Source organism: Homo sapiens, chromosome 6 (assembly GCF_000001405.40).
Source record: "Homo sapiens chromosome 6, GRCh38.p14 Primary Assembly".
NCBI classification, from domain to species: domain Eukaryota; kingdom Metazoa; phylum Chordata; class Mammalia; order Primates; family Hominidae; genus Homo; species Homo sapiens.
Genome location: NC_000006.12, coordinates 132,313,785 through 132,325,923, shown reverse-complemented (window position 1 = coordinate 132,325,923; position 12,139 = coordinate 132,313,785). Strand labels below are relative to the sequence as shown.

Sequence of the window (12,139 nt, the reverse complement as noted above, 5' to 3'; positions counted from 1 at the left end):
TGATAATAACACAAAAGGAGAATTGATTTTTATGATTTATTTGTTTAACAATTGATTGAAACCCTGGTAGATGTGTGACCACTGTACGTGTGACTAGCTGCCATTTATTGAGCACCTCATTTGTGCCAAACACTGTTCTTAGAACTTGGTGTTTAAGCCACACATCACACTTATGAGGTAGTAGTGCTACTATTATGGCCATTTTCCATACTGGAAAACTGAAGCACAGATTAGGTAACTTTATGTCTTCATCTGTTCTGTGCTGCTATAAGAGAATACCACAGACTGGGTAATTTATAATGAACAGAAATTTATTCCTCACAGTTCTGGATGCTGAGAAGTACAAGTACAAGGTACTGGCATCTGATGAGGGCCTTCTTACGGGTCATAACATGGCAGTAGGCTTCACATGGTGGAAGGGTAAAGACAGCAAGAGAGAACAAAGCCACTTCTGAAATAATGGCATTAATCGATTCACAGGGGCCAAGCCCTCATGACCTAGACACCTCTTAAAGCTCTCACCATTCAATATCATCACAATGGCCATTAATTTTCAACAACATTCAAACCTACTTTTTGGAGGAGATAGACATTTAACCATAGCATTTGCCCCAGGTGACATAACTCATATGCAGCAGAGCTGGGATTTGCATCCAGGTTGGTCAGCTCCAGAGTCAGTGTCCTTAATTGTCACATCACAGTGCTTCCTTGTGATGACCCTGAATATCTGAAGAAGCTGGAGTCAACAAACACATAGCAAATATTTTATGTTCACAATTACAAACTCATGAAGCAGGAAAGTAAAGCTTGGATTTTTTTCCAAGGCTGTTAGGGAGGTTGAGAGGTAAGAATTTCCTGGGATAATTATTGAAATACTTAATTTTAACAACTTATTACATCTGAAAAAAATTAAAAGTAATGGATATCTTCTAAGTATGTGTGTGTGTGTGTGTGTGTGTGTGTGTGTGTTTGTGAGTGAAGGGTATATAACATGCAATGAGGAATATTTGATATAGAGACCTTGTGTTTAAAAATGATTGACTAGAAATAGATTAAGCTGATTGATTTAAATGAGACAAGAAAGGAAACTGAGGGGAAGGAATCAATCTGTTAGTTACTGCAGAAGGAAGTCAATTAATTTCCAAGTTAATGAAATGAATTTATGAAATGTTTGGGGCTCATACTCTCCCTCCCTGTAATGAATATTTCATAACGACAAGTGTGTCTTATTCATCTCTCATCCCCACAATGCCTAATGGAGTGCCATTTACATAATGGATTCTTAATGACTGTGTGTTGATTGAATGGCTGTTGAATGAAGAAGAAAATGGTGACAAACTTTAAAGAAATAAAGTGAATCTTTAGTAGTTTTTTTCTTCAGCAGATGGTTTCTAAACTAAGGAGGTTTTACCTCAAAGTAAATGTTATTGAACTTCATCTCGAAACAATATAAAATAAAAGTTTTATTAAGTTATTTATTCTATATTCTAATGAATGACTTTAGAATCTTCATTCTGTCTTCATGTTAGATAATTGTGGAATATAACAGCCAGATAACGGAAACATTTCTCTTGTAGTATGCTGTGTGAGTCCACAAAGGTTGCAGGCAATATGGCTACTCATCTTTTAACTCTTGTTTGTGAAACTGAATGTTGTCTGCCACTAATCTCTGCTTGAATCCCTTTCCCTCATGACAGTTTATGGAAAATAAATAAACCTATTTCAACAGAATATGAAAACTTTAAAAAATTCAAACCAAGAATTTTCTTGGGAATGAAAACATTTTAAGAACCAAAAATCACTTTAATTATGTGCTTTTGTTCTAGGCTTAATAGATAATTCTGGACTGAGGTTATTTTACACAATGGATATAAGGAAATATGATGCTGGGGTGATTGAGGCTGGCCTCTGGGTGAGCCTCTTCCATACCATCCCTCCAGGGATGCCTGAGTTCCAGTCTGAGGGTCACTGCACTTTGGAGTGCCTGGAAGAGGTATGCAGCATCTGAGTCTGAGCTGCTCTCTGCAGATTCATCAATGCTCTTAGAAACTGTGGTGTGAAAAATTCCGCACATGTTTATTATCGATTCCTTTCTTGTTGACACACTGTGAAACCCTTATCGCAATTTTAGTAGGACTTTTGACTGCTTTTTTAAATCTTGAAGCTACAGGAGTAGAACTCTAAAGACAGAAGTAGTTGGCAGGGTGTTTTTCTTCTTACTCCTACCTTTTTTGTTTGTTGCATGTTGCATGCTGTATATCATCTTTTACAATTTCAACCTTTGTTTGTGTAGTCTTTTTCTTTTCTCTAGTTTACCTTTTATCCATATTGATTTTTCCATCATTTATTTTCATTTTTCTCTGCCTTATAGTTTCCTTCCCTTTCTTCACCACAGAGCAAAAATAACTAATATAAAAAAATATATAGGATAGAAGAAAAGTATATTTAGTAATGACAATTTTCACTTCAAGTTTTTTAATGAAAATATTTCAACATGGATCATACTCTTTATGAATTATATGATATTGTGGTTGAGGACAGTATGGCAGACTGGTGAAGTGGAAAGATTATGCTCTTCTGAGTTATTTAGGCCATAGTTCATAATTCAAATTGCCATGACCTCATTTACAAGCTGTAGGACCATGGGCGATTCATTTAATTCCATTGACCCACTTTCGCTTTCTTATCTGGAAAAGTGGGAATAATATTTCCTTTTAAGAATTTGGGTTTTCAGGTTACTAACATACTGGAATCTTTTTGCTAAGAATGTTTATTGCCTCTTATCCTCCTAAAAGAAGGAAAAAGGAGGATAACATGTAGAAATGGTCTGGGAGGCCCCTTATAAGCATCAGCTCCCCTACTTTTCTCCCGGCAAATGTTGCTTCACAAGGAGAACACTGAACAATCCGAATTCAAACTCTTTTTCAGTTCAAGCATTCATTTAAATTGCTTTAGCTTTTTATCTCAGTTGTCCCTCCAAGTGTGTTTGAATGTAAACTGTCTGAACATGCATTAATGTGGGCTAATCGGGTCTTCCTCGGTGTCTCCTGTAGGCTCTGGAAGCCGAAAAGCCAAGTGGAATTCATGTGTTTGCTGTTCTTCTCCATGCTCACCTGGCTGGCAGAGGCATCAGGCTGCGTCATTTTCGAAAAGGGAAGGAAATGAAATTACTTGCCTATGATGATGATTTTGACTTCAATTTCCAGGAGTTTCAGTATCTAAAGGAAGAACAAACAATCTTACCAGTATGCATGTTTTTGTTCTTTTTCATTGACTGTTATGAAAGTCATGAGACATATCTGCTGAGATGTGGCAAGGTTTCTACTAGTGAAATGAATTTTTCCTTGCATCTGTATTCTTAACACCACCCACTGTGGGTGTTGTACAACCCAGATGGAATGTGTTTGATCTGTTTTCCAAAATTGAAACTCATTTTTCTTATAATTCCCAGGAGCAATTCAAGTTGTTGACTGAAAAATAAAAACAACCCCAAACAAAAATCTCAGGTTCTGAGGACTAAACATTACTCTTTTTTTATACTTGACATTCCAGTTAGTGATTCTTTGGGTTGCAATTCCTGCAGTGGTAAAATAGAGGTGTCTTTATGCTATGTTGAAGAGATAGGATATTTTTAGAAGTTTCATTTTAGTAAAAAGGAATGTAAGGATAATTCTTTTATCTGATAAAGCTATGTGAATATAGCTAATTAAACTATGCTGTGTGATCCAGCTTGACATAATACTTGGGGTTATGGTGAAGGAGAGAAGAGAATGAAGGCTTTAAAAAGGTTATAATGCTTTGTTTTCTCAAATTTTTATTCCATGACCATCAAGCTCACTTGTAGTATAATTTTCTACCCTTATTTTACTTTTAAAAGTCAGATCCCTATACCATTTACGAAATGAGAGTAATGGCAATATCTTTTCTACGTGATGCTGGAGACAGGGTTTTTAGATGGGATGAACTGTCAGGGAGAAGACATGGCACAATAGGATGTAAAAGGAAAGCTGAAAAAACAGAAGAAAGTGATAAAGAGGAAAGGGATCTTCTTTTTACTAATAGCTATCCCTTAAATCCATAGCTTTGGATCTTAGAAATTCTTTGATACATCCGGAGAGTAGAAAGAAGTTTGAGAAATGGTGATCTTGTCAAGGTTCTTAAGGACTACACTCTATTTTATTATGATGTCTCTGGGGTTTTCCAAACAGTGTTATCTCAGAGTTTCCTAACTGACGCACCATGATTATGGCATAAGTGCGATGAGATACTGTTCTCTGGGCCCTCTGAGTGGCGTGCAGGGAGGTCAAATTTAAGAGCAAAAGCCCAGAGATTACGGCCTCAGGTCTATGAATAGCTTCATCTGCTTACCTTAAAGGGGAAACATAAAAATGTTATCATTTTCCATATGTATTGTAATGTACAAAAGGATGGAAAACACTAGAACAATAAACTTCTATTAATTTGCCTCACGATTCTATTGTAAGGAAATAAAGGCATGACTAGAGACCTTTAAAGAAAATAATGTAAATGAAGAGGTGATCACAATAACTACTATCTATGTCTGAGGTTTATTAAATGTTCATTTGTTGCTAATGCCTATGTGTTATGTCATTTAATCTCCTCGTAACAGCTGTGAAAAAAATAAGGACTTTTTTTTTTTGAGATGGAGTCTCACTCTGTCACCCCGGCTGGAGTACAGTGGTGCGATCTCGGCTCACTGCAACCTCCACCTCCTGGGTTCAAGCAATTCTCTGCCTCAGCTTCCTGAGAAGCTGGAATTAAAGGTGCCCGCAACCACGCCTGGCTAATTTTTGTATTTTTAGTAGAGACGCGGTTTCACCATCTTGGCCAGGCTGGTCTTGAACTCCTGACCTCGTGATCCACCTGCCTTGCCCTCCCAAAGTGCTGGGATTACAGGCGTGAGCCACCGTGCCAGGGCCAAAAATAAGAACAATTTTTATCTTTAGGTTTTAAATGAACAAATTGTGCCTGGGTTATATGTAGTTCATCCAGCTAGAATGTTGTGGAGTCTGGTGGAAACACAGAGAGTCCTATTTATTTGCTTGCTTGTTATATCAGCAAACCTAGAATTAAACAGATCAGGGGTCTTCTGCTGAATGAAATTACTTGGCGCATCCATTCATACAGCAAATATTAACTGTTGACGTACAAATGTATTTGATAAATAAGCCAGCATAAAACTTCAATCTGAAAGCTTTTGCTTTTATGTTTCAGGGAGATAACCTAATTACTGAGTGTCGCTACAACACGAAAGATAGAGCTGAGATGACTTGGGTAAGAAAACTTTTATTATTATTAAAGTTCATTTATGGAGAGAAAGAAATAAACTTGATTTTAGAAGAAAAAGGTAAAAACCATTTCCATTTAGAAAGAAAAGTTCTAAAAATCTTGAGTATCAAGTATCATAAAAGTGACATCAGAGATGTTTTTAGCATTTTCTAAGACTTCAAATTAACTAATGATATTATAGTATTAAATAATACTTGGAGTGTAATTAATTGACTCCTTCATGAAAAGCTATCCTTAGTCTTTTAATTTTTCTCATCTAATATTTTTAAAAGAACTGTGGTCATTAATTGACTGTCTGCTTGAGTCTGGCTTAGATAAATACAGACTTCCAAATGAAGAATGAATTTCATGACCTTGAGGCCTCTGACTCAAAGAGAAATCTGGTCCCAACAGATTTACTGGGGGAATTCCACCAAGCATTCAAGAAATAGATAATTCATGTCTTACTCAATCTCTTTCAGGAACACTAAAAGAGGGAACACCTCCCACCAAGTCATAAAATGTAGTTAACATAATCTTAAAACTAAAACTTCACAAGGATAGTATAAAAGGGGCCAGTAGTATGCACCTGATGGAAATAACTTGGACAAGAGTTTGACAAACCAAATCCTTTTTTATATACAAATCTAATGATAAGACCAACTTGAGTTTAGCTAAGGAATATAAAATTGATTTAAATTAGAAAATATATTTATTGAAAGAAAAAGATATATAATCACCTCAACAGAGGTAGAGAAAGCATTCATTAAATTCAAGTTTATTGTTGACAGGGGAGACATTTAGCAAGCCTGGAATAACAGGGAATTGTCTTAACTAGGTAGAAGTTAGCTATGAAAAAGCTATAGCAAATATTAAATTAAATGAAATACCGTTTTTTTTTTCAAGTTAGGAAGAATATAAGGGTATTTGTTATCACTACTTGTATTCAACATTGTACTGGAAAAGAAATGAAAATGAGATATAAGGATCAGAAAGAAAGAAGTGAAGAAGCAAAACACATTACTCACAGATACTGTAATTTTCTGCATCAAACCCTCCTCCAAATTGATACTATCTAAAATTAATTGCATTTGAGTATATAAGAAATTATCTCAAGAAAATACAATTTAAAATAAAAATTAAACAGAAATAAAATCTAACACTAGATGTGTTTGATCTCTGTGAAAAAATTATAAATCTTTATTGGGAAACATTAAAAGAATGCCTAAAGACAGTAAGAGATACCGTGTTCATGGATAGAAAGGCTCAGTAAAATAAAGAAAATACTTCTATTCATATTGGCTCATAAATTTGATATTATTCTAGTAAAAAAATTTCAGAGAAATTTTACGATTTGAGGTTTTGGTATTCTAGCTAAGAAATCTTCACCAGACCAAGGCTGCAAATATTTTCATGTATTTTTTAATTTATATAAACATTTTGCTGTTTTAGCTTTCACATGGAGCAAGTTGATTCTAAAATTTACACAGAAGAGCAAAAGGTTAAAAATAGGCAGGACAAAACTGAAAAGAACAAGATAGAAAACAATCTACTAGATAAGAAGGCTTATTTTAAAACTGGCGATTAATACAATATGCTTTGAGTCCCAAGTTAGAAGACTTGGAGCAGAAGAGGCATCTCAGAAACAGACCTACAAATTCTACAGATGGAAACTTGGTTTATGATAGACATAGCATTTAGATAAATGGAAAAGGATAAACTTTTTATTAAAGGATGCTGGCACTAATGGCTATCCATATGACATAAATAAAACTGAGTCTTAATTTCACACAATGCATAAAAATCAATGCCAGATGTATTAAATATTTAAATGTGAACAGCAAAAATTTAAAACCGCTGGAAGAAAAAATACCTGAATATATCTTCATGACTTTGGAGTAGTTAAGAATTTTTTAAGCAAAGCATAAAAGCACAAACTGTAAATTAAAGATTAACAAATTTGACTACGTCAAAGCTTTTGCTTACCAAAATAAAACACTATGAAGAAACTAAGAAGAGTTTTAAACTGGGAAAAATATTTGCAATACATAGATTAACAGGACATTAGTATCTAGCTTATAAAACAAAGTCCATAAGTCAGTAACAGAAGAGAAGCATACAATAAAAGAGGATAAGACAAAAGCATTTCAAAGAAATAACAACCCATATAATAGATACTATAAATATATGAAAAGATGCTCAATTTTGTTTAAAACCAAATATAAACCAGAGTGAGATGTTTTGAACTAACCAGTTTGGCAAAATTTTAAATAGCATTTCCGTTATGCTGAAACTGGAACACTTATACACTGTTAGTAGTGACTTAAATTTGTAAAACCATCTTGGGGAAAAGTATGGCATTATCTAGTAAAATTAGAGATTCATATATACTCTACTCAATTCCATTCCTATGTAGATTTAACCTTGGAATTACTTTTGCAGAATGTGTTTCAGGAGAGAAATATGTAAACTATTCATAGTAACATATAATAATATAGGAAAGAAAAAATTCTGGAAATCTCTCAAATACCCATCAAAAGGAGAACAAATAAATGTGGTATTATTTAATGAAACAGTGTAAAGTTATGAAAATTAATGAATGAAAGCTGCCTATATTAACTTGAGTGTATCTGAAGAACAAATAATGTTGATTGAAAAGAGCAAGCTTGTAGCAGAATATATATAGTGTGATATTATGTATGTAAAGTTCAGGAAAATTAAACAATATATTGTTTAGGGATACATACTTCAATATACTGAATGTAAAGTGTAATGAAAAACAACAGAAAGATAAAATATTAAGATAGTAATCACCTTTGGTTGAAATGGGAAGAAGAGGGATAGAAGCTGGACACACATGGAGTAGTCAATGTACTGGTGTTGGTTTTATTTTTTTCTCATGCCTTATGTATAATTTTTGTTGTTGAAATATTATTTTACTAAAGACATAATAAATGAGTTATTATTATAGTGGGTATTTTGGTGCACTGTCTTGATACCCTCTTCAGGGCCAACACAACCAAACCTCAGCCACTGGGAATGTCAGATGATAATATGATAGCTCACAGCTGTGTACCTCACTGGACATTCCCCTTGGTATTAGAAAATAACTTCTTAAAATTTTACTCCCTACAGTAGGAGAGCCAGCAGTCAATGACTAGTTGATAAGATGCTGCAAAGGCCCAGCTTTCCTTCTACAATTTGGTACAACTCTGAACAGCCATCCTAACTTAAGGATAAATTAAATACAATATTTACTGAGGCATCAAATGCAACTTCATTTGCACATCAGCATCTTCCTTTGCCTAATCCTGCCTTGCTCATCAAGTGCAAAACATCATGTTTTTGCAATTAGTAAAATCATTGTATATTAGCCCCTAGGTTAATTTAGAATATAAACAATATTAAGTTTTTCACCTTTGTTTTCGAAAGCTGGATTTTGCTGGATACAGAATTCTTGGTTGGCAGTTGCTTTGTTTCCTTTGCAACACTTGTGAATATATAATTCAATATCTTTTTGTTATTTCCATCATTTATGATGAAATGTCAGCTGTCAATTGTATTCTTGTTCACCTATATATGATGTGTCATTTTTCTCTTGCTCCTTTCAAGATTTTTTCTTATCTTTGGTTTTCAGCAGTATGACTGTGATGTGTCTAGGTATGGCTCTTTTTGTATTTACATTTGGTTTTTGTTGAGCTTCTTGGGTCTGTAAGTTAATGTTTTTCATTAAATTGGGGATTATTTCAGGCATTATTCCTTTGAATATTTTTTCTACCTTTTTGTCTTCTTCCTCTCATTCTAGAACTCCAGTTACATGTATTTAACATACATGAAAACATATATGTTAGACATAAATGCTAGAACATTTAATGTTGTCCCATAGATCTCTGAAGTATTTTCACTTTTCTTTAGTCTTTTATCTCTCTGTTATTTGAATAGGACAATTTCTATTGATTAATCTTCAAGTTCACTGATATTTTCCTTGCTCATTTGAAACTTGCTGTTGAGCTTATCCTGTGAAGTTTTTATTTCGTTTTGGTACCTCTCAGCTCTAGAATTTCTATTTTTAAAATTGTTCTTCTTTCCTAATGTCATTCCTTTTTCTGTTCACTCATTTTTGAGACATTTGCCTTTAACTACTTGAGCATGTTTTTCTTTAACTCTTTGAACACTTTGTAAAACGGCTTTATTGAACATATTTTTATCTGTTTTCAAGTCATTGTCTGATAAATCCAGCACATCAATCTTACAATCCATTTCTACTGACTTTTCTCCATTGAAGGTAGATAATAATTTCCTGTTTCTTTTCCCACTTAATAATTTTTGGTTGAAATTAGACATATTAGATAATATGTTGTAGTAACTCTGGATTCTGTTCTTTTGAAGGTCTTTAATCTTTTTCCAAATTTTAGTAGATAATTAACTACCTAGATTCAAAATATGAAATCTTTCTCCCCGTCGTATGCAGCTGCTAATGTTTATACACATGAAGACAAGATTCTAGAAAATTCAATTAAATCAGAAAAATTTCCTGCAAAAATTCCTGATTGATTGGTATTATGCTAACCAAACATCCTTATGATTCTCTGAAATGTTCACTGTGTTGAGAAGTTTACATCCCATCCGCAGAATTTATTAGGTTATTTAAGAAAGGCAAATTTTTAAAGTGGAAATAATTCTATTAATTTTTAATTGTGTCACTACCTTTCTAAAAAGCCAGTTTTTTAACTTTTCAGCTTTAAGATGTATTAAATTTTAATATTGGAAGGAACTGTATGACATTAATGACTTGTGTGCTTTAAATGTCAAAGTTGGTAGAACACATACTTTGCTAAATAAACTATCTGTTTTCAGGGAGGACTAAGCACCAGGAGTGAAATGTGTCTCTCATACCTTCTTTATTACCCAAGAATTAATCTTACTCGATGTGCAAGTATTCCAGACATTATGGAACAACTTCAGTTCATTGGGGTTAAGGAGATCTACAGACCAGTCACGTAAGTAGTAAATGTATTTTATGATGGGGTAACGTATTTCAGAGAAAGATGGGCTTTATTGTCATACTGGATCCATTACCACATTATAGAAATTTTTATGCACTGTTTGTTCTATTTGATTACTTTTAACTGGGGAGACCAAGTAACCTTTTTGATTACTATGTCCAGAGTCCCCAAGACCACCCTCAGGTTCTGTGATTTGCAAGGAGTACCTACAGTACTCAGCAAATAGTTGTATTCATGGAAAACATGAATATGGTGAAAGCATGCAAAGCAGAAAGAACAAAAGGAAAAGCTACATGAAGCAAAGTCTAGAGGAAACCAGGCGCAAGCTTCCAAGAGCCCTCTTCCAGTGGAGTCACACAGAATGCACCAAATTACACCATCATCAAATTGTGACAACATGTATGGAATGTTGTCTATTGGAGAAGCTCATCACAGATTCAGTGCCCAGAGTTTTTTGGAGGAACTAGTCATATAGGTGGTCTCTGCCTACCACTTACTAAAATTCCATACTTCCAGATGGAAAGCAGTTGTTCAGCATAAACTGCATTGTTTGCACAGTATAGGCACAATGAGTCACTCTTATCATTAGAGAAAGTTTATGTCAATATAGGAAATCGTTTACTATTTAAGTTTCCAGGCACCTGCCAAGGATTATCCTTGCAAGCAGGCCTTTCTGAGGTGGGCCTATTATGTTAACTCTTTAGGTATAATTGTTCTCTTTCGGTACAATTATAGGAGCTATTTAAGATATAATAAACAAGATTCATATTTTCCTTGCCCTCTTGAGATTGTATTCTGGAGTGAGGGAGAGGTAATAAACAAAAAAAGATATTTTAAATAGTAATAGATGTTATGAAGACAAAACAGTGAAGGAAGTATGTAGTTGTTGTCAACAGGATAAAGAAAGCCTCTCTGGGTTGGTGATATCTGAGCAGCGACCTCCGTGATAAGGAGCCAGCTATAGAGATATGCAAATTCTGCACAGGAAAGAGCCAGTGTAATGAATGACCCTGTGGTTAGTCTGAACCTACCGTGTTTGTGGAGCAGCAAGAGAGTGCATTTGGCTGCAGAAGAGTGAAGTATGGTAGAGAATAAGTGAGGACACATGAGAGCAGGTGGGACCAGATGATTTAGGACTTTATGGGCAACATAAGGCCTTGGGGCTTTAAGTGCAAAGGGAAGCAATTAAAGGATATAAATAAAGTCAATTTGGCTACTATACTGGGAAAGGACTCTAGGAGGGCTAGACTGGAAGGAATATCAATCAGGAAACTATTGTGATTGTCTAGTTGAGGGATGAAGGTCACTTGTGCCAAGGTGGTGACACCAAGTTGATGAGACACATTCCATTCAGGTTACTTTTTGAAAGGAGCACCCACAGGCTTGTTGATCAATGGCATCTCATGGAGGCAGTGAGGGATAGAGCAGAGTAAAGGCTCAGTGATGGTGTGAATGGTGTTAGGGGAACATGCTGAGGATGATATTGAGAATTCTGTTTTGGATATATTAAGGTTGATGTATCTATTCTTACTGATGTCAGTGAGAAGAATTAGAATGGCTGGTGGAAATTTGGGGATGGCTGAATTTGTTTTAATATAGAGAAGAATTTTCTAATGATCACTACTATTCAAAATGAAAGGGACTGACGTAATTATGTAATTAGAGAAAATATACACATAGAGGTTTTGTTTTTGTTTTTGTTTTTGTTTTTTTGAGACAGAGTTTCGCTCTTGTCACCCAGGCTGGAGTGCAGTGACGCGATCTCAGCTCACTGCAACCTCTGCCTCCTGGGTTCAAGTGATTCTCCTGCCTCAGCCTCCCAAGTAGCTGGGATTACAGGCGCT

The 12,139-nt window shown here is 34.8% G+C and overlaps 1 protein-coding gene across 4 annotated transcripts in view; it reads left to right on the top strand.

Moving 5' to 3' along the window:
- MOXD1 (monooxygenase DBH like 1) overlaps positions 1 to 12,139 on the top strand; it is a 105,421-nt gene that overhangs the window by 75,552 nt on the left and 17,730 nt on the right. For all 4 annotated transcript variants that reach the window (XM_017010714.3, NM_015529.4, XM_047418622.1 and 1 more), the window contains exons 7-10: positions 1,827 to 1,993; positions 3,054 to 3,245; positions 5,236 to 5,295; positions 10,147 to 10,289. In XM_017010714.3, the coding sequence (XP_016866203.1) occupies positions 1,827 to 1,993; positions 3,054 to 3,245; positions 5,236 to 5,295; positions 10,147 to 10,289 (562 nt within the window). The remainder of the gene's footprint in view (positions 1 to 1,826; positions 1,994 to 3,053; positions 3,246 to 5,235; positions 5,296 to 10,146; positions 10,290 to 12,139) is intronic.